The following is a 23,830-nucleotide window of genomic DNA, read 5'->3' on the forward strand; positions in this document are numbered from 1 at the left end:
CTTTTCTGTGGTACGTTTAAATAATGTTACCATTGGCATCTTGACAGAACTGTTTCTGTTGAATGATTTCCTTAGGATAAATTCTCAGTGGTGGAGGAGACTGATGGGACAAAGTCAATTAATGACTCATGCTTTGTGTTTCTTCAATGCTTTTAAAAGGGGGACTTATTTTCCTTACAGCTGTAACATTTGATTTCCTAAATATTTATTTATATTTAAAAAGTATTTGTATGTGTTAAGATATTTTGCCATTCAATACATTTTAAGAAGTTAACCTTATTTCACGTCCGCCCAATGAAAAAATATTTTGCTATACTATAGGAGAAACTTGAATCACTTAGAACTTGTCATTTAAAATATTTGTTTATGGAAGGGAAACCTCTTTTTCCTCTTGTTATCCCTCAGAGATCTTTTTAAATGGAATGTTTTACCTTTTTCAGCACATGTAAGTTATCTACTTGTGAGAAGGGAGCTGATTAACCTGTGATATTTTTGCTGAAGATTTGTATGTCATTAAATCAGCAGTATATGCTCAACACCTACTAATGATAGTAGTCACTAGGAGAGATAGAAAAGATTGAAAATATATCCCTGGAAAAATTAATAATGCCAAAAGATCTGTTCAAAAAAGGTTTTATCCAAAAAAGTTAATCAAGACAAGCAACAGATACTGCAAAGCATTATATACAGCACCATAGTCCAGGGGCCAAAGAAATCAGGAGGGGCTGGGCAGTAGAGGAATTCCATATATTAATGAATGTGAGATTAAGTATAGAGTGAAGACATTAACACACAATTCTAATTTCTGTTAGGCAGAATGCTCCCCTACCCTGATGCCACAGCCTTTCACGTTTCCTAAACCCTAGTAACCTCTGATCTCCATCTGCCTCATCAACACGTCACCACCCTTTGCTCTTCTTCCAATTAGTCACATGTTGGCTGAATTTATTTCACTCCAGTACTTTAGGACCTTGACAGACAAATCGATTACAAGGTCAATTCCCAGGATTTCTTCAGGGTGTGTTCAGGAGTGCAGATGTTCTTTGGATGACCTTTCTACTAAATTAGACCTCTGAAGGAGAAAGCTACTTGCCAGAGGCTTTCCCTGAGAGCATTAGGTTGGGCAAAATCTGACTAAAATTTAATTACTAAATGAAAGTGTGTACCTTAGAGTTCCTGGCCAGAGTTGACTCTAGGTAGTGATGTGATTTTCTTGGGATGTTTTTCTAAATATTCTTTTATGCTAAAGCACATGGCTTGATACTTCTGTTGATTAAGCTCGTGTCTACTTACAGTCATCTAGTGAGAACCTGTGGTGTGGTGAGATGATAACTTGGTCTTTGGTCTTCATCATTTGAACTAGTTTTGGTTTTGTCTTGTCCCTTCCTTGAGCATTTTGTGTGTGTTTAATCCTATTTGGTAAACGAACCACTGTGAAAGACCAAGTTGGAGAAAACAGAACACCCCCAAAACATTTATTTTTTTTTTTAGAAAATCATGGCTCACTATGGTAGTATACAATATTGTTTTCACACATGTACACTTGAAACCAAATTTCTAAAACTTGTTTTTCTTAAAAAATAGTTGTTGTAACATTAAACCATAACCTAATCAGTGTGTTCACTATGCTTCCACACTAGCCAGTCTTCTCACACTTCTTCTGGTTTCAAGTCTCAAGGCCTGACAGACAGAAGGGCTTGGAGATTTTTTTTCTTTACAATTCAGTCTTCAGCAACTTGAGAGCTTTCTTCATGTTGTCAAGCACTAATGGGGGATAAAAGCAGGAGAGTCAAGACACCATCGTGCGTTATATCGATATAATAAACCCCAAACTTGGATGCTCAATTCATTATTTAATGGGATGCTTTTTTTTTTGAGACAAGGTCTCACTCCCACTCAGGCTGGCATGCAGTGGTGCAATCTCCACTCAGTGCAACCTCTGCCTCCTGGGTTCAAGTGATTCTTCAGCCTTAGCCTCCTGAGTAGCTGGGATTAGAGGTGTGCTCCACCATGCCCAGCTAATTTTTGTATTTTTGGGAGAGATGGGGTTTTGGTATGCTGGCCAGGCTGGTCTCGAACTCCTGAGCTCAAGTGATCCACACACCTCGGCCTCCCAAAGTGCTGGGATTACAGGCGTGAGCCACTGTGCCCAGCCTGATAGGATGCTTTTTATCATGAGGTGAATAGTTGGTAATCTTATTGTAATTTAAAAAAATTATATGAAATGGCTTTTGTGACAATCTAGTTTTCTAGTGTAGTCATTCCTTCCCAGATCCTTCATCTCCAACCCTCACTTCCAAAAGAATCCTTTTATAAGCTCTAGCAGCAGAAGATAATTTTGGCTCATTTAGAAGTAAATTTAAATCATGTTTAAAAGAAATGTCTATTAGTAGGTGTGTGTAAATTGTTTTAGAAGTAGGGGAAATATAAATAATAGCAAACCAAGTGCTTTATGCAGATGAATTCTTTAATCCTCATACAAACACGATTAGAACTTTATATATACATAATGAAACAGGCAGAGAGAGGCTGAGTAGCTTGCTCAAGGTCACACAGCTAACAAGTAATGGAGCTACTGTTCCAGAGCCCAAACTCTGGGTCACTGTTTCTTCAACAGCAATTCATCAAAATGAGGTATGTGATCTACTAAAAATAAGATGTCCACTCGATAGGCATTGAACAGCCGCTTATTCACTCTTCCTACAAATCTTAATTATTAAGTGCCTGTTCTACAAGGGATTGTGATATTACTTGTGTAGGACACGTGCCTTTTAAGAGCTTAGTCTTATTAAAATGTATGGTATTATCTCAGTAATGGCTGACAGTACTTGGAATGTGCTTCCCCTGGTCCAGCACACACTGGAAACATTGCTAATGGACCATGATGATCTCTCCTGCTTCCTAGACACGGCCTCACTTCTCTTCCCAACATGACGTTCTAAGTCAGCACTGGCCAATAGAAATTTCTGTGATGATGGAAATGTTCAGTGTCCGGGCATTGAGCACTTGGAATATGGCTAGTGTGACTGAAGGAATGAATTTCTAACTTTAACTTAAGTAGCAACATGTGGCAAATGGTTAACATATTGGACAGTGCAGTTCTAGGCAGCCACTACTAATTGATCAGAGTTGGTTCCTAGGATAAAACCCACTTTTCTTCCCAGAGGACTAATCAGATGTCACAGCTAGCTACAGCGTTGCATTGAGGTACCTCATCTGCCTTAAGTCAGTGTCTCTCTCTCTCTCTGTCTCTCTTCCATTGATGGCAACCATAGGGAAGGTAATTTTCTTGGCAATCATTTGGATCATCTTTGAAACTGATCTTTAAACTGAACCTGAATTTAATTTTAAGCTGGACTGCACATTCTTTCACTTTTGTTATTTAAAAAATTAAGACATGCAGATTATTACAATTATTACACTCAGTTCTGTGATAGAAGGAGTGTGTGCTCGTGTACCTAACAGAAAACCTGAAAATCAGGTAATGTGGTCATAGAATCCTCCTAGAGAAAAAGATACCTAATCTAAATAATTCATCTTCAATTGAGATTAAAAACAAACAAACCTGAGATGGAAAGAGTGTGATTTGCCTGAAGATGCAAGGCTAGTTAGGGTCAAACTGAGTCCGAGGCGTCCCTAAGCCTAGCTCTCTCTCACCTCACCATGCAGCCTCTAGTCCCATCACTACAGCAATAGAGGTGTTCAACTCTTGGGCAACATCCGAATTGAAGGTCACACTTACACAGAGCTGTATCTGCAGGTTCGTAAGCATAGAGACGATTTGAATATCTTCCAGTGATATCGGCTCTAACTGTCAGAGATGGGTCTGCAAAGATAAATGAAGCAAAAGGGAATGGAATGGTTTGTTTTCAAACAACCTGTATTTATTGCCCCGGGGAGCTGAAGTTCATGTATTCATGTCCTGTGAGGGAATGGAGTGTGTCTGCACTCACAGGAGCTCTGATCCATCCACTCTACTACCCAGCCCCTGGCAGTTAGTAGCAAATGCAGGGCTGGAAACATCAACAGCTGTGCAGTGCTATTTGTGGAAAAGGTTATGAACCCTTCTGTTCTATCTATGGCAACCTGAAAACAGAATAATATATATTTAGGGGTGACATGGTGTTTTTTTTTTTTTTGGTGAAAACATTAACATTCTCTACTGCAAAATTATTTTAAATTCTTGAAACGATTATGTTGTAGTTTACATGTTTCTAGATCATTGGAAACCCACATCCAATGCTAGTTTTCAAAACGAGTTTTTTAAAAAAAGTTAATAGAGGAATGCAAGTCCTTAACAACAGCAAAGTTCAAATAAGCATATAGTACCTTCACTATATTTTACTTTATTGTTAATTAACTGCATTTTTAAAAGTAGAGATTGGTCTTCTCTTATGTATACTTATATCCCTCTAAATTTAAATCCATCTTGCCATGTTTTGTATTTAACTTGAAGTGATCTAATTAATGAGAAAAAGAGGTATTTTAAAATTAAGGTGCATCCAAAAGGGAAGCGTGAGGATACAGAGAGATCTGGAAACCTTGCCTTGAGAGACGTAATCGAAAGAACCTAGGACACGTGCCCTGAAAATGAGACAAGGAAGACATGTGAGAACCATCTGCATGTTTGCAAAGTCTGTCGCTGGTACTGGAGTGGGCAATCTGTCATTTCAGAATGTTGGACTAAGGCCAGACACATAAATTACAAGAAGCAGATGTACATTTATTCACCAGATTTAAGACCAACTATACTTCTGTTTGGTGCAGAGGATACAAAGACACGGTCTAATCTTTGTAAGAAATTAACCTAAGAAGGGCTTTTTAAATACCCAACTAGCAGCTCACCTGGCTGCACATTGGAATCATCTGGAGAGCTGTAAACACTATGGATGCCTGCCTCCCACCCCCAGAGATTCTGATTTAATTGGTTTGAGGTGTGGCCTGGGCAACTTGATCTTTAAAATCCTCCAGGTGATTCAAACATGTAGTCAGGGTGGCTACTACGGAGCTAGAAGAGCAAGCTGCCTTGGAGCTGGTTCTTAGGACTGAAGGAATTGAATGTGGGTTAAAATGCCCTTCCACAGGGATGCTGTACAAAGAATTCCTGTACAAGGTATGAACAGACATCTATAAATTCCCTTTTAATGTTAGGATTCCAAATGTCCTAAATTCTGACAAAACTAAACCTATAAAATTAGTGCTTTAGTTCAGCCTTCTTCCTTTTTTTCTATTTCTTGTTTTTCTTTTCCCTGCTTTGTACATTCAGTGTAAACTTTTAATGAATTACACAGGTGAATCATATGATTAGCATGAATTGTTGTAAGTGATGGATTTCATTATGGATTGTCCTTAAATCAGTATGACTTTGAACAAAGCCAAACTCAGTACATTCATTCAATAATTAAACACATATTGATGGAGAGCCTACTGCAGGGTCACGTTGGGAATATCATGGTGAGCAGAAATAGGTACAGTCCCTGCCATAGGGGCTTATAGTCCAATGTGGGAAATATTTATTACATAACCACCCCCAAACTGCAAAATTATACCTGAGGAAAGTATGACTACAAGAGCACATAGTAGGGATTTGACTCGGTCAATGAATAATGATGATTGGGGAGTTAATGATGTGAAATTGGGGGACAGAGAAGGAAGTGGGGAAAGCATATGAAAAGTACCAGTGGCAGGAAGGAGCATGTGGCTCCTTTCATTTCTTTTTCCCACCTCATATTCCTTTTTTTTTTTTGAGACAGAATCTCGCTCTGTTGCCCAGGCTGGAGTGCAGTGGTGCCATCTCGGCTCACTGCAACCTCTGCCTCTTGGGTTCAAGCAATTCTTGTGCCTCAGCCTCCCAGGTAGCTGGGATTACAGGCTCCTGCAACCACGCCTGGCTAATTTTTTTTTTGTATTTTTTAGTAGAGATGGGGTTTCACCTTGTTGGCCAGGCTGGTTTGGAGCTCCTGACCTCAAGTGATCTGCCGGCCTTGGCCTCCCAAAGTGCTAGGATTACAGGCGTGAGCCACCCAGCCTTATTCCTAACTTTCTTAAAAATAATGATAAAAAATGTCAGAAAAATCTAACACACAAAGTGAAAGTTTGCTGGATTAAAAAATAAATATTTGCAGGCCTCTCGTATTCAGGAAATTTATCAATATGTTTAAATAGTGAATAGGGTGCTTTGTTCTCAGAAGTATTATAGCAGAAGATGAAAAGTTACAATTAGCATGTGAGAAAAGAAAGTGTTGTGTGGAAATAGGTAAAAGCTCACATTTTCTAAAGAAAATATGTTGCGGAACTTAAAGGAATGTCATGCTCCTTGCTAGAGCTTAGTGATGACATTGGCCATGGCAACGTGGCAAGGGACAGTGGGGAGGAGAGAAGGAGGATGGCAGCACTAGTATGTGTTTCCGAGTTATCTCACTGTCACTTCCGCTTACCAACAAACATAATCCTGGGGACATACTGGCCATCAGGAGAAAGGTGTTTGTCAGTTGTTTCATACTAAAATAAAAAGAAAAGCATCTTTTAGTTTACTTTGACTTTTCAGTCGTTTTCAAACTTGTTAATACAAGAATCTGTCCATTTCCGGCCAGGCATCTCAAGATATCATAACTCTTCCACACAGAGTTTATTGTACAGATGAGGAGACAAGTTACAAGCATGAAATAATAAATAAGATAGAGCAGAACATGAGATAAAGTGCTGAATGGATGTGATAAAGAGCAAAAAAATTAAGGGAGAATTTGGAAGGAGTTACTGTGTTTGGGGAAGACATCTGGGATGAAATAAGAGGCTATTAAGGAAAAAAGCAGATGTCATTTCTAGAGAAATTACGGAGACAAGTACGGGATTTTCTTGAGTATTCATTTATCCATTTATCAATTTTTATTTAGAACTGTATTTAGCAAGGCATGGTGCTTATCTTTAATGAATGCACACTCTATTGAGAGATACAGGTAGGAAAATGAATATTGAGGATGCAGTGGGTGAAATGTTACGGTGTAGGATATGCAGGTTTGGTGATTGCCTTGAGCAAGACATTTAGCCCAGAATGCAGATTCCACCCCGACTAGGACTTTCTGAAGTGGATAAGGAGGAATCTTTACAAATGAACAGGAGTCAGTTAGGTGGAAAAGAAAGACACTTCATGCAGGGGGAAGAGTATGGAGAGGACAGGTGGAGCATTTTCTCCTATGGCCAAGTGCTGGGGAAGGACTGAGTTGGGGGGATGCACGAGGGCAGTGGCGAAAGAAGGTGCTAGAGCTGCTTCAGGGGCCGGCTTAGGAATGACTTTGCACACCATGCCATAGTGTTTTCCTTTGTTCAGAAATAGTTAAGAACCACTGGAGGGATGTTAGAAGAGGCACTGTGACCCCAGTTTGGTCTGTAAAGCAACTTCTCTGACAGCCATGTGGGATTAGACAGAGTTTATCTTGTAGACCAGGAGCCATTTAGCAGTATTACAGTAAGCTAGGGAAAGTGAAAGAGGCTTACTAAAATAGTGGTCCTGAGTTTATAGAGAAGTGACTAGTAGCAGGAATACTTGGAATTTAGAAGCACAGGGCTTATTGCATGCTGTAGGTAAGTAGGAGAGTCCAATCTAGCACAGTACCACTTTCAGTAAAATAGGGAATAGAGAAAGAAGAGCTATTGGAAAAGCGCAAACCAAGATGATTAATGTGCAGTGAGGAACATACTGAGTTTAAGCTGATTATGAGATATCTGGAATATGGTTGGATAGACAATTTGGAAGTTGTTTCATGTTTGGGTAAGATGTAGGAATTATTAGTGTGTCGGAATTGATTAAAGGCAGTTGTAGATGGAGTTGTTCACTGAATACAAAATATGGAAAGAGAAAAGGGTCAAGTAGAGATTCATCATGTCACTCACATTAAGGAGTAGGAAGAGGAAGAGGAAGAGCCCATGGAAGAGAGGCAAGGAAGAACTACTGGTGCGAAGTGGTCTTTAAGGAAGCCAACCTGTGAAGAGGAAGGGCCGGAGGGCTCAAAAGGACATATGATTAGGTAGAGTCATTTTTTTGTTGGCTTGCTTTTAGAAGGAAAATGAAACATTTGTATACAGTAAAAAGAACTTGCCGAGACAGAAAGCTTGAGCACCGTGAGGGGTGGTAGTGGTGAAGTAAGGTGGGAATGCATGAAGCTAAAGCACAAGAGGCATGATTAGAGTTGGAAAGCCAGAGAGCTGTCTCTTCCCAAGAGATGACCAGGATTAAGAATGGGTGTAGAGAAGCCAGGACTATAGAGGGACAGGCACAGCAAGTAACAAAAACCTTCCAGCAACAGAAAAAATTCTGACTACGGGAGATAATTTTTCAGACAAACTAAGATGATTAATTACTAAATAAAAACAGACACACCAAATGGATTATTAATACAACGAAATATCTTTTTTCTCTCTAATTTATGAGATGGGATATTTGGAAGCAATCCCAGTTAATGCAGTATAACTAAGATGTATAGGAAAAATGAATCATCCATTTCAAGTAATGAGCCATAGAGAAATGTTAGTAATGATGAAAAGGAAACTTACAACCAGATTGAGGAGGACAAACTGCTCTGCCAATTTCTGGATTTCTTTATTTTCAGCAAACACTTTCTTTAAAGCTATAATATAAAGAAAAATCATTAAGCATCCATCTTAGCATTGGTTAAAAGCTTTGTTCAATTTTCAGTTAAATTGCATTTTATTTACTTATTGAATTGCATTTTAAATACAGTATTCTACTTTGGCCTTTTAGCAAATGATTAGTGAAGTAATATCTATGGCATTGACTACCTCTGCTTTCTATTCACTCATTCATCCATTCATTCATCAATTCATTTTTTTCTCCAGCTCATATTTATTGAATGGCTGCCATGTGTTACGCACTGTGTTCTGTACTAGGGATGGTGCAGTGAACAAAAAAAAGCATGTGTTTTTTCACAGAGCTCACATACTTGTGTGGGAGACAAACCATAAACAAAGAAATAAGTAGATGATACTTTCAGGTAGAGATATGTACTTTGAAGAAAAATAAAGCAAAGCAAAGGGTTTAAAAACTGTGAGTGGTCAGGGCAGATCTTCCTGAGGAGCTAACGTTGAAGTGAGGGAGTGGTCCATTTTGGGGTAGGCCACTGTGGGCAGGGGGAACTGCAAAAGCACTAGCTGTGAGGTGGGAATGAGCTCACCTGTGGGAGGAACAGCACGAAGGCCAGGCTGGAGAGAGTGAAGAAAGCAAGAGGAGAGTGGTAGGAAGGGAGAGATAGCCATTGGCCTGATCATGTCAGCCTCATAGGTTGTGATCAGAAATTTGGATTTAGTTCTGTGATAAGAAGCCACTTGAGCACGTGAGTGATGGAATCTGATTTATGTCTACCAGCCTCACTCTGGCTTCTGTGTGGACTGGCTGTAGGGTGGCCAGTTAGGTGACTGTTATGGTAGTCTAGACAAGATCTGATCTGGGCTTGGACCAGGGCAGTAGCATGGAGGCAATAGGAAGTGGTTGGATTTGGGCCCAGTGCAAAATGAAAGGGTAGAGCCCCTTGTTGAAGAATTACTAAGACTTTTAAGACAATGATAGCCAAGTTTAAACCAAGTTTGGGAACCTTCTAAGCTTGGGGCCCTGTGAGATGGCACAGGCTTCATGCCTGTGAAGCTGGTGCTGGTTTAAGGATATATTTTGAAGATAAAGCCAGTATTTGCTGGTGTATTGAATGTGGACTGTAAGAGAAATCAAGAAGTTGAAGATGAATCCTAAAACTAGTTTTTCAAAATATGTACCAATGGTTATCACAAAATGTGGAGATATTTGAAGTCACTTTTAAATATGTTTTTACTATATAAAATATTCTTTCTTTAATGCAACTGTGGTTCTAAAGATACAAACATGAGTGATCTGAACCCTGGCCCTAAGGCTAAAAGCCTATAAAGGAAATCATACTTAGAAGAATAAATTACCTTGACTGTGTGGGCACTCATCCAAGTGATGAATAATCATCAAGGGTTTGTTGCTTTAAAAGACAGAGATTAGACAAATTTTAATGAGTAAGATTTCACATATATCTAGATGTCACTAGGTGGTGCTCTTGAGAGCTTTGAGGGAGCTCTGAGTAATCCTGATCTTTACCTTGTCTTGGATTTATATAGAGCTTCTTCATATGTCTGAGTCCAGATGAGTTGGTCACCCCAACCTAGAATGAAATGAATCAGTATATTTGAAGCTTGTATAAATTCAGACCCAAAGCTGTTGAAAAGCAATGGTAAAGACTGGGATAATAGACCCTATACTAAAGAAGAAGAAAAACCCCTGGAGAAAGTAGAAATAATTATAAACAGTGATAAGTCTAGAAGGAACACAACCAAAAATAACCTGGCACCAGGTTAGAACCAGGTTTAAGCACCAAGAGAGAGGAAATCTTTTCCAATTAAGTAGCAGTTGGAAGCCAACAAGAAGCTGACTCCTACCTCTGGAGAGGGTCTGGGGCAGTTTGGGTCGAGAGTCCTTTGTGTCCTTTTTGGCTCCAGGTTTGACTGTGGTATCTCTGGCCAGAGTGTAGGAGAGGGCCACAAGGAGCAAGAATGCTGACACTGGAATTTTCTCCATGGCAACTCTAGTATGGAAAACCAACCAAAATCAGTAAACAAAATTGAACTAGCAGTCTTCAGGGTCTGCAGGTTGCCCCACAACGGTGGAATATACCAGAAACTGAGGCTCTGCTGAGACTGGACATACGAGATTGGCGTAAATAGCTCTGTTCCATGGGATTTTCCTAAGAATACAGGTGGTCTTTGACTTACAATTGAGTAATGTTCCAATAAACCCATTGTAAACTGAAAATATTGCAAGTCAAAATGCATCCAGAGTAGTCTCTCCTTTCCCAGGGTTTTACTTTCTGCGGTTTCAGCTAACCACGGTCAACCGCGTCCAAAATAAGTGAGCACAGTGCAATAAGATATTTTGAGAGAGAGACCAAATTCACCTAACTTTTATTATAAGATACTGTTGTAATTGTTCTGTTTTATTATTAGCTCTTATTAATCTCTTATTGTGCTTAATTTATAATTTCAACTTTATCATAGATATGTATGCATAGGAAAAAACATAGCATATGTAGTGTTTGGTACTAATGTGCGGTTTCAGGCATCCACTGAGGGTCATGGACCATAACCCCCACAGATAATGGGGGAACTACCGTAATACACCTAACCCACTGAACACCACAGCTGAACCTACCGTAAATGTGCTCAGAACACTCACATTAGCCTAAAGTTGGGAAAAGCCATCCAACACAAAGCCCATTTTATAGTAAAGTGTTAAATATCTCAAGTAATTTTTATGAATACTCTATTGGAAGTAAAAACCAGAATGGTTATATGGATACTTGAAATACAGTTTCTACTGAATGTGTATTGCTTTTGCACCATCATAAAGTCAAAAAATTAAGTCAAACTTCTGTAAGTTGGGACTGTTTGTATATAGTATGGATAGCTGTCTATTGATCCACATAGATAAAGACAAAAAGATATAGATCTCTATAGATATAGAGTTATCTATATAGATATATATATCTATATAGAAATAGATAAATAGAGATATATTTTGAGAAAATAGATATACATACTCTAGTAGCTAAGAAAATTTACATTTACTTTTTTTGGAGACAAGGGCTCACTGTGTTGCCCAGGCTGGAGTACAGTGGCACAATCGTGGCTCACTGCAACCTCCACCTCCTGGGTTCAAGTGATCCTCCCTCCTCAGCCTCCCAAGGAGCTGGGGCTACAGGCACGTGCCAGCATACTTGGCTATGCTTTTGTATTTTTTAGTAGAGATGGAGTTTTGTCATGCTGCCCAGGCTGGTCTCAAACTCCTGACCTCAAGTGATCCTCCTGCCTTGGCCTCCGAAAGTGCTGGGATTACAGGAGTGAGCCACCACGCCTAGCTGATATCTTAGTTAAATTACTTTTTCTTTCTGGTATGCCACAGTTGATTCCCAGGAAAAACTAAAGCCTATGAAAAGGAAAGTACATGGCAAGATAAGTTTTGTGAGTGAGGAGGGAGGGAGGGAGCAAAGTGAGTTGCTCTAGCAAGTCACTAAGGTTGTCCACGGGGCCGTAACATGGAAGGCTGGAGATTTGGGATTCTGATAAAACCAAACACTAAAAGTGCTAAAAAGGAAATATGAAACCCCGGCACCTAACTCTAGTATTGGTGAATGGTTTTGAATGAAGTCAAATAAACTCTGCAAGGAATTACTATTGTTAAGCAGGAAGTTTTTCATAATCTAATATCTTGAGTGGAAACCTTTGCTAAGCATTAGCTGATTTTTTTTTAAGTGTTGCTAAGCTACCAGATCGAAATGATGTTTTGTATTTAACTGACCAATGATTAACTAATCCATAGTATGTAAGCACAAAATGTCTTACTCAGAAAAGATGTAAGCAAAAATCAGGGATATACTTTGTTCATTTTCTATACCTACAAAGATGTGGAAATGCCAATAACTTTTGTCTTCTAGAGTTTTGCAAAAACAACCTAAGTGTTCACTGTAAGTCAACAATTCTCAGCCCTCTTTGTATAAAGACTTCTTTGTAATGTTAAAAAAATCAAGAACTTTTACATGAGAATAATTATACATTTGGAATACTGGCTGGTTCAGAAACATATGGCAAATAATTTCTTTGAATCTATCAACAAACATTTGATTTTATCTTTTATTTATAACAGCATCTATATATATTCTAAAAAATAGTAAATTGATGGTAAGGCATTTTTATTTACTTAGCCCATTTACAGTTCTTGTTTTCCAAGTAGCTATTAGGACCTTGCAGTATCTCCAAAGATCACAGGTTGGAACTATTGATATATTGCTTGTGTTTTACGGCAGGATGACTCAAGGAAGGCTAACATAACTCCTGCTGTACAAACATCCTGCTGTGGGGTGACTTTCTGAGATTCACTCCACTGAGTTTTCGTAATGTGAATAGATTCTGCTCTGCAAATTTCCTGCATAAACCACCTCAAAACACAATTCCATGGAAAATATTGATAATTTGGAGACACACACAGACATAGGTACACACACACACACACACACACACACACACATTATGTGAAGCCAGCACTTTTTACTCATCACCGTATCCCTGTCTTCTTGTCTTTAGCAAATAATGAACTTGCAAGACATTTTAGTGTCCCTATTTGTAGATGCTTCAGGAAAGCAACCAGCTCTCTCCTCTAATAGCCTATCCCATGAATTTAAAGATTGCAGAGGCAACAAGAATGTCTTTGCAGCAAAAAGAGAAAGAAAACTGTTTTCTGATTTGCAATAATATATTCCAAGCGGGCAATCCGAGCTGAGGTGTCATAGTGGAGAAGCCTATGGGGCTTTGCTTTAGCCCGTGGGAAAGAAAGCTTTAGATGGTGACTGAGACGAAAATCCCTGGACCCTGTCCCAGGCTTGAAAAATCCTAGGATTCACCTACTCTTGGAAATTTTGTTTCGCAAAAGAGAAAGCATTTCTCTGAACTAACTCGGGAACGTCACACTGTGCCAGCTCTAGCCAAAGAAAGGCCCCAGTAAGACTTTTGTGGAAATTCCATGATTTCCCTTCCGTATCCTACTTCATTGCCTTTGGAAACTTGCAGTTCTCTGTTGCTTGATTGCCTACAACTTTATATAGCAATCAGAGGCCCGAATTCACTCCAGCAAGTACCCTTCTAAAGCTGCTGTCAGGAGCCTTACCTGGATTTCCTCACCCACCTGCCTTGTGTGAGTCGGCGGCTAGGATGCGGTCCAAGCTTCTGAGTGTGCCAGCACAGCTGAGTCTCTATTTATGCACCAGGGCATACCTCAATCCCACCCACTAGTGCTGCATTTACTTGTTGCTAACTCAGAAACGAACCTTCCTTTCCCCAAGTGATTATCTTCCCTGGGTTAAAGAGTTCCTTGTTTTTAAAAATAACATTGCAAAAGTATGCTTTTCAGTATGCATGTTTTTAACTATTTGTGAAACGTATTGTTAAGAGGTTTTGAAACGATGGGCAGAGTGCCAAATCCAGGTAGACTTTGAATGAAGACATTTGATTTGCCTGAAGGCTGATTTGTCTTTACATGATTGGACAGAGTTTGTAGTTTGTAGATTTTTTTTCTGCTCCGTGGGCAGATTGCCTTTATTTACTTGAAGACACACAAGAGATGATTCACAATTCTGATCCTCGCAGTCATATAACCTGCCATACTCCATTATGATAAAAATTATTTTCTACAATACTTCCCTGCTCCTGTCAAAACAATGCACCCTAACTTCTACAGGTATGAAAAAAAATACAAATCAAGTAACCCACGTAATTTTTCAAAACTGAGGAAGTATTGGCAAAAAAAAAAAAAAAAAACAGCCTAATATCGTGAGCTTGTAATAAATGCCTTGCCATTGAATGTATGCAGCAACTTCCCTCCACAGAGTTCAAAGGTATTTCACAGATAATCTCTTATTTAAAGGCAAACTTTCCTGCCACGCAAGCAGGAAGCCATTTACTCCATTTTCTCAGACCTAAAAACTAAGGTCTGCAACCAAGTTTTTTTTCCCCTCAAGACCATTTAATTACTCCCTGAAGATTTTAAAACTGGAATTTAAATTTTCTGTCAGAAAATTTTAATCCTGTATTTTGTTCATGAAGTTGTGTGCAGTCTTTAAAAGCTCAGAATGAAGAAAATGTTAACAACAGAAAGTTAATGAATGGGATGCAAGCCCTATATAAATGACTTTTTAAAATGAGTTAAGGTCATAATATTTCAAAAACATTTGCAAGTATGTATATTTTTCCAATAAATCCTTGAATTCTGTGGGCAAAATCGTGATTCTCCAAATACTGAATTTCCTTTCAATTCTAATGAATTTATAGAAGTAATTTCTTCAGGAGTTTGAAAACGATGATTTGAGCAAAATTCTTAAAACTAGCAGGCCCTTAGATAGACCCTTGTAATATTCAATTCCAGTCTTTCATTTTACAGATGAATAAATGAAGATGGCAAAAAATTCATAACTTTTTGAAGGTCTCACAACTAGTTTAGGGCAGAGTTGGGACCAAAGTCCTTCAGTCCCTTATCCACTGAAAGTAACAAGTGGATGGGATTTGGAGTCACGAGATTCCCATCTGAATCCTGCATCCTGGTGCTTGCTCATAGGATGATCTGAGATCTCATTTAACATCCCCAAAACTTCAGTTTCTCCATCTATAATATGGGGATAATATTAACATACGGGACCATTTTGAATATTAAATGACTTTTCCCTGTATTGCCACATGGTTTTTCCCTCTGTACCTGTCTGTGTCATTTTTTTCCTTTTCTTATAAGGACACCAGTCATATTGTATTTGGGTCCTGCCTAATGACCTACTTTAACTTAATTACCTCTGTAAAGATCCTATTCTGAAGTCCTGGGGATTAAGACTTCAACATATGAATTTTTGGGGGGGACACAATTCAGCCCATAACATTTGATAAAAGTAGCTAATGCAGGCTGGCTTAAGACCTAGTTGTTGGGTTGATCAGTGCAGCAAACCACCATGGCACACGTTTACTGATGGAACAAACCTGCACATCCTACACACATACTCCGGAACTTAAAAAAAAAAGTCTTTGATTTGTTACAGTTAATTATAGTGATATAATTATTCTATACTCATGTGCCTAATCTCATGTCGGGAAAAACCCAGAGTTTGTCATAGTGGCTGACGGATGGCAAGGAGGAGGTAATTATTAGCAGATATCCTACACATGCTATTGAGGCTGTGGAATCTTTGGCATATCTGTCTTGGTGTGAGGTAACTAGGGTTCTGTAGATGGTACATATAGTATGCTTTGAGACAAGCAAAGGAGGGGTTTTTGTTTTATGCTATTAAACTTCATCACTTTTAACAGTGATGCCATGTGATCAGTCCTTCAGGTTTGCCTGATACTGTAAAAATATGTCGCTATCAGGTAGATATTTTGGATAATACCTGAGTAGGACTTCCTGAAGTAGGATTTGATAATTTGATATACCGGTCTAATATTATAGTAAGTAAAACTAAGCTTGGTACCAGGGATCCTATAACAATGGTTGTAATTAAGTGGATATTATACCTTTGTGTTTTAAATGTTTATTACATTATAATTTTAGAGGCATTTATTCAAGCATATTTTATTTTATATTTTTAAATTCAACTTTTAAATTTAGGGGGTACATGTGCAGGTTTGTTACATGGGTATATTGCGTGATGCTAAGGTTTGGGGTACGATTGATCCCATCACCCAGGTAGTGAGCATAGCGCCCAATAGGTAGTTTTTCAGCCCTTTCTCCCTTCTTTTCCTCTACCCTTTTGGGGTCCACAGTGTCTATGGGTCCCATCTTTGTGCCCATGTGTACCTAATGTTTAGCTACTACTAAGTGAGAACATGTGGTGTTTGGTTTTCCATTTCTGCATTAATTTGATTAGGATAATGACCTCCAGCTGCATCCATATTCAAGCATATTTTAAAGTGGATTATATCCTATTTTTGAGTTAAAACAGGAGACTTATAACTGGCAATTATTGTGTAATCTAGCATGCATGAGTAGCTAACTCTTGTGTTTCATTTACTCATTCATTTATTTTCTTCACCAAGTATTCATCAACTCTGTTTATGTAGCAAATATTGTGCCAGGCATTAAATATATAAAAATGAAAAAATGATGGTCAGTTATTGAGGTAGCCAGACACACACATAGATAATTGCAATTCGGAGTGATGGGCCATGCTATGGGGAAAACATGTAGCAGTTTACAACACTGTTTCTACTCTAAGGTTACTTACGATCTGATTGAAGAATTAAGATGGAACAACACTAAAAATTAGCCATTCACATGAGAATGGCACGCAACAAGAAACAAGTAAGTGGGATAGACGTCAGGTGTGATTATTTTTCAGAGAGAGTAGAGATTGCTACCTACTAGAGTGCTCAACTTGACGGCAGAAAGCAAGATTTCCAAATAGAGACGGTGATATAGAATTTGCAAAATATATTTGTGGGATATTTAAGGACGAGCCTAGCTGAAGTGAGAGACATCTGGGTAGCTCATAGACAATAGGGTTGGAGGGGTGTTTTGGGGCTATTTGCCTGGGCCTTTAATGCCATTCTAAGTTTAGACTTTACCCTCAAGAGGAAGCATGTGAGGGTTAAGAGGGCAAGCTGTAGATTCAGATAGGTTCGAGTTTGAATCAAGTTTCCTGACTGTTACATACTCTACTAATCCAGGCAACTTACTTAACTTCTCTGTGCTTTAGTTGTCTCACTTGTAGGTCTTCCTATCCCTACTTTTTTACTATATAGGATCTGTGGAAGATTACATAAGATAATAGACATAAAGTGCTTAGAATGGTACATAACACATAGTAAGCACTCAAAAATATTAGTTAGTAATACAGAATGTATTACTTCTCTGTATTATGATCATTTAGGTCTCAGTCTATGACAGCAGAATCTTTGTTGGATTACCCTTTGATTATAGCCTATCACAAGTCTTAAACTTTTCACATATATTCATTGGAAATATTCATTTGTCATTATAACAATCTCACCAGACTTCATTATTTTCTTTTAAAAAAGTAAAAAGGCTCAGGTGAGTGGACATAATTAGCGCAAAGCCACAAAATTGATGAACAGAGAGAAGATCTAAAATTTTCCATAGTTGGTGATAATTAATCCAGTATTTCTTTCAGTCCATCAGGCTGCCTTCTGATGTCAGGAAATAATGAGATAAGCCTGTAGATGCATAGAATTCCACATTACTGAATTATTATGAGCCTTATGCAGAGGGAAGTGCAAATGACTTCTTGTACTCAAAGGGTTTGCCTCAGAGAAGACTTGTCAAAAACATATCTAACTGCTGACCAAATAGCTGAATAAATTCTCCCTAACTCTAGCTTAGAGAAATGGACACATAAAAATTTGTGTTTTGACAGAGGAAAACTTGGTTACCATTTGAATTTATTTTAATTTCTGAATTGGGCTTTTGTGCACAGAATGGTTTAGAGTTTCTGGAGTTTTAATTGATATCCAGTAATGAAATTGTTAAAAATAGTTTAAACTGTACTTATATATCTAATTCTCTTAAACTTTCTAAATGCCCAACAGAGCAGATTTGCAAACATAATTAGCAAAACCTTTCTTTGAGTAAGCTTATCAGCTTTACTCTTCTTTGTATTCTTTCCTGAGACTAGTGATGGAGGAGCAGATTTACTGCTTGGGTGGATGAAGGTTCCTGGGTCTAAAGTTTGGGACCATGATATGTGTCAAAGGCTGAGAACCAGTCATTGATATGTTAAACTTAATGTCATACAATTAGATGTGTTTCTTGCGGGAAAGTATAGAGCAAAAGGACCAGCATACAACTTTGGTAATGATTGTCCATTTAGGAGTGAGGAAAAGAAATACTTGCAGAGCACAGAAAGTATAAAGTGTGAGGACAGGCAGGATAGTGTCATAGCCCTGGATCCAAGTCCAGTAGGAGCTACAAATCTCAAGGCAACAACTGGTGCCAAATGCGGCGAGACTTGTAACTAGACACTAGGAGAATACACTGATTGTATAAAAATCAGTGGCTTTAAACGAAAATTCATGAAGGGTTCTTGGGTTGAAATAATGAAAAGCTAAGTGTTCTGGTGCAGTAGTGTATTACCTTTTGGGGTCATGAATGAGGTGATTATACTTCTCAGTTTGCCCAGGAGAGCCTCAGTTTAAGCCTGTTGCTGGGTATAATAATTGAGAATGTCTTCTTTCATTCTCAAAAGTACCATGATTTGGACAATAAGTTACATGATCTGGATGATGAAATCTATTGAATTTATCTGCAGGTAAGATACACATATATAGGCATATGCAAAATTTTACAGTTACTTCAGAGGGTTCACTTATATACTGAACCCAATCCTAGGATCTCTTTGAGGGATTTATAAACCCTCAAACGTTTGCTCTTGTGTTCAAGTTTCTATGCTTAGCCATTCTCAAGGAGCCCACAGCTTGAGATTTGGCATGTAACTCTCCACACTTGTTTTACAGCATAATCTAATCTTTCTTCCTGGTGAGCAGAAATTTTATACCCTGTACTAAGCTGGAAGGAATCCTAGTCTCACAGCCATTCAAATCCCTTGTTTGCTCTGAATAAAGTCCCACAGCCTAAAATTCTTTTACATCATGGTGGAGGTGTGCTTTGTAGAGGAGGAGGAATAAAAAGTAATTTAAAATGTAATAACACCTAGAGTTATTAAGTGATTTCCCCACGAACTCTTATCTTTTAGAAGATGGGTATTTATAAAGCAGACATTAAGATCTTTCTTTTAGAATTTGCAGTGAGTAATCTCAGTCAATAAGAATTTTCCATCGAAATGATATGCTGCTAATGAGGTTGAATAGGCTACAAACAGTGCATTAAAAAACAAATTGGGTTCAGTAACTACTTTCACCATATATGAAAGGCAGATTTTGTACAGATTAAGACGACGTGTCCTTAGCAGTTCGAGTCTGACCCTAGAGTCAATATTGTTAGATGATAAATACACTCCTTCGGGTGGAGCACTGAATAAACAGAGATGCTGTCAGAAGATGTCATTCTTCCTTAAGCATGGAAGTGACTTAAAAAAAAGGCCTAATTCCACCTTGTAAGACAGCTTTACCTTGACTAAGTTCCATGAAATTTCTTCTGATTCTTTTTTTTTAAACCTTATTCCTTTGAAAACTATTACATAGTTATTATCAAATGTAAACAGTTATCTTGTGGTCATGACTAGATCTAGAATTTTCTATCTCATTATCTAGTCATCTGTATACTGAAAAGGCAGGTGTTTCATAAGGAACATTAGTAAATAAAAAACCAACATATTATGGAAATAATAAGTGTATTACATATCAATATTAACTTGGTAAATATAGCACGTGGTATACTACAACATGTAATATAATACTTCAGTTTATGAAGTTTTTTCTAACAGGCAAAACCCCCCAAATTATAATATTTTAAATTCACAACAGAATACACACTTTATTATTAAATAGGCTCAAAAGAAAATACTATTATGATTATATTTTTCTCATCTTTCAAATAGTAATAAGTAACTTTCCAAGACCTCACCTTTTGTGTGCATGTAATTGAATATATTTCTAGGAAGGCCAAACTACTTTTTCTGTGATCTATGATTCCAAACTTGCCTCTAGTGAATGGGCTTGTGCTTGTCTTTTATACCAGTTGGTTTTATTGTATTGTTTCTCCAAATGGAGGAATTGGTTTCAAAGGTCAGAGTTTGGGTAACCTTGGGTTTTCAAAAAAAACCTGCCATATTGTTACTTAAAGAAGCAGAATCACTTATTGCTTTCACAGATTATTTTGGGATGCTTTACCCTGCTTTTTATGTTTTATCCTTAATGTTAAGTACCAATGAGAGAATAACACGTACTATGTTCTCAATATTCTTCTGTTTGCAAGTGTTTTCCATATGACTCATTCTGTAATAACTTTTTTCTCATAGTCCTCAGCAATAGGTCAGCCTAGAAAGCAAACAGAGAAGAAACTTGTCACATTTACTTTCTTCCTGATTTCTTTAAGTCCTCGTCATCATTTCAAGACTAAGCTTTGCTATATTCACTGCATTCCATTTTTTTTTCTAACCTGTGATTTTAGGGAAAGATCACACTTGTTCATTATTTATGGGCTTTTAGACTCTGTATAATGGGGGAAAATGGGTTTCAATTCAGTGAATACTTATGATGTAACTTTATACGTGTCTCTTAGTTACAGTTAAACTAGTTTTCTATTATTCCCAGTTTATGTTGGCTTGCCGAATGAAAGGATCACTTAGTCCAAGCAATTCAACCAACTAATTAGTATAAATGGTAAATTATTTGATGAATTTGGTGAATTTTCTGAGGCTGCCAATGTGGTTTGAGGGATATCTGAATGTATCCAAGGCATGAAGTGTAGATATTTTATAAGGAGATTTCCATATGACATGATTAAGATCACTTTGTTTAAAAAACCAGAATTAGCACTAAGACAATTTTTGTTTTTTAAGCACCAAACTATAGATAGGAAAGTAACTTAAAAAAATTTCAAACGAATATATGGACATTTTGTTTGTGACTTAAAGACTGATCTCATTAGATTCATTTTTACTGGCCTGGCTCAGGCTGATTTTATACTGCTCTTAAATGAAAATATTTTTTCTCAGGGTGCTTTCAAATTACTTTTATGTGACATGTCCAAAGTGTATCATTTTCAGCTCAGATTAGTTTAGAAAACTGAGATTAAGGACTTCCTGAACACAGAGGAAGGAAATAAAGCAGAAAAGCTGTGAAAATTGTGTTAAAAATTTCTGAAAGCACACCTTCGTATATGTTTTAAATTGTTATTAATATCTATAGCTATGATTTCTGAAGTTTTATTATGGTACTTGTTTATTAACCATGATACTCTCAAAATGTAATCGGTCATTTATATTCTGCATTTTTCAAATTATTTGTAGTGAGTTGGTTGCCATAGTTACTGCACTTTCAGCACTATTTGTCAACTTTTTATCATAAGGTTTTTCTGCATAATTTTGCCTATTAGGGTCATTTACATAATTTAGTATTACTAGACTGTGGAAAAGTTGATTAAAGGACCTAAAATGATTGCTTTGAAATTATTAAGATATGAATTTGGAAGATATTTTTCTATAAGATGACTCATGAGTAAAAATGAAATTTATATTTTTATGGGTTATGAGTGTTACTTTTATAACTATTTTGAAAAGTATACACGACTGAATTTTGGCAAAACTGCCTTCCTTTATTGACTAACTACATGTTCTGAGCCAGAGTAAACCAGAGACCATGTATAAAGTAATATAATATTTATTCTGGCATATGTGATCCAAGAGAAATTAAATAAAAACTAGTCTCCAAAGCACATTATACCAGAAACAATAGTACATCCTGTGGCATCTTGTCACCTGAAAACACCGCAGGTTTCAGTGGAACTAAAGATTGAGACTAGCACACAATTTCTTTTTAATGACAGCTTTTACATGGCAGTTTTGCACATATTTATTCTGAGGTTCGGATTTTGTGGCCATTTTCACTTTGGTAAGCACTCTGGAGGAACATTTCAGGTTAGGCAATAACCCAACACAAACGTATTAAGCTCAGAAGAAGGAAGTGACCAATGCAAAAATAGTGCCCAGGGGGCCAGTTTATGCTAATAGCTAATTGCCAGAATTCTAGGGTGCTGGGTACACACAAAGAGTTTTATATTTTATTTCCAACCACAGGTCAGCATCAAAGATATGACCACAGAAATGCATTGTGTAGTCTGTCTTACCTAAAGTCGGAGAAAGAAGTAGTTCTAGAGTCATATCTGGACTCAGTGCTTATTTCAAAAGGAGAATAAATAAGATAGTGCTTCCTCCACCTCACAAGACCTGGAAGACCCCTTGGTCCTCTATACACCCTTGGCATCTGTCCCAGCAGCTAGACTGGCTATCCTCAAAGCTTCTTTTTCAAGGATGCCTGTGTATTCGGTAGGCAAAGTGCTATGTTATGACCGAAAAAAAAAAAAAATCGTTGGGAGGCCGAGGAGGGCGGATCACAGGGTCAGGAATTCGAGACCAGCCTGGCCAATATGGTGAAACCCTGTCTCTACTAAAAATACAAAAATTAGCCAGGAGTGGTGGTGGGTGCCTGTAGTTCCAGCTACTCGGGAGGCTGAGGCAGAAGAATCACTTGAACCTGGGAGGCGGAGGTTGCAGTAAGCCAAGATCATGCCACTGCACTCCAGCCTGGGCGACAGAGGGAGACTCCATCTCAAAAAAAAAAAAAATGTGTAAACCAGAACTGAGTTTGTTAGCATAATGCCACTGGGGCTCTAGAGAGAAGTATTGTGCCATCTCATTGCTAGAATTGGGGCAGAGTGTTGTCCCATCTTTGACATCTGGGGAAGGTTTCCGCTTTATAAAATGCAAATGGAATCACTTCAAGTCCTCTCAGACAGTATCTGGATGATATTCCACTTTCACCACTCCAAGGTGTTGACGTGGTACACTCTCTACATGTTTTGGTGGTTTTATTTTTCATTTATAGACATTTTGTTGGGTTATTTCTCAGTCTACCTGTTTATTTTTATAGCCTTCTACCTTTATTGTTTCTTTTAAACATTTCTTTAATAAGTATAAACATTTAAATTGGAAGTACTAAACAAACCTATTTGTTTTGCTTGTTGACTCTCCCTTGAGGGGATGCTTTTCTTGGAATGGTCCATTTTTTTTTTTATTTGTGAACTCCTCTTCCTTGCGGATTATTTTTCTGTTGGAATCTGGTGTGCTGCGTTGTAGACAGGTTTCTATGGAGCCTTTTTGAGTTTGCATCTGGCAGGTGCCTGAATAGTATCTCTGGTCCACAGTCATTTTTATGTTAATTACTTTCCTTAAAAGATTTCAGCACAATGAGGATGGCATAAACTTAATTTCCAAACCCACACATAGGACAGACTTAGAATTTTGCTTTATCGCAAGAGCATGTTTTATTTTGGTTTTCTCTACCAGGTCTCTGAAAAAGACAAGTTTCTCTTTTGGGTTTCTTAGTCATTAGGTGGTATTTTCTAGCCCTCTTTCCCCAGGGTCCCTAGTTTCAGCAGAGCTCACAGCTTTAGCTCCCTTCCTTGAACCCAAATCACTTTTTCTGAACCCACTTGACATTTCCGAATGTTCCCTGGAACTGTCAGTTGGAGGGGAGTAGGGATAAAAGAAACCCTGTCTCCTGGAATATCCAGGTCTGAATTGAT

At 37.9% G+C, this 23,830-nt stretch overlaps 1 protein-coding gene across 2 annotated transcripts; it reads right to left on the reverse strand.

The window, feature by feature from the left end:
• Positions 1-617: 617 nt before the first annotated feature.
• Positions 618-13,806, reverse strand: AGR2 (anterior gradient 2, protein disulphide isomerase family member). Of its 2 annotated transcripts, none has more exons than XM_005249581.5 (8): positions 13,760-13,806; positions 10,465-10,610; positions 10,127-10,190; positions 9,958-10,010; positions 8,551-8,624; positions 6,438-6,501; positions 3,743-3,826; positions 618-1,764 (listed from the first exon to the last, which is right to left on the reverse strand). In XM_005249581.5, the coding sequence occupies exons 2-8, from the start codon at positions 10,601-10,603 to the stop codon at positions 1,715-1,717; spliced, it is 528 nt and encodes a 175-aa protein (XP_005249638.1). In that variant the 5' UTR covers positions 10,604-10,610; positions 13,760-13,806; the 3' UTR covers positions 618-1,714. The 2 variants fall into 2 exon arrangements, with proteins under 2 accessions (XP_005249638.1, NP_006399.1); NM_006408.4 differs by having other exon boundaries at positions 13,742-13,806.
• Positions 13,807-23,830: the final 10,024 nt, after the last annotated feature.

This window comes from Homo sapiens, chromosome 7 (assembly GCF_000001405.40).
Source record: "Homo sapiens chromosome 7, GRCh38.p14 Primary Assembly".
NCBI lineage: Eukaryota > Metazoa > Chordata > Mammalia > Primates > Hominidae > Homo > Homo sapiens.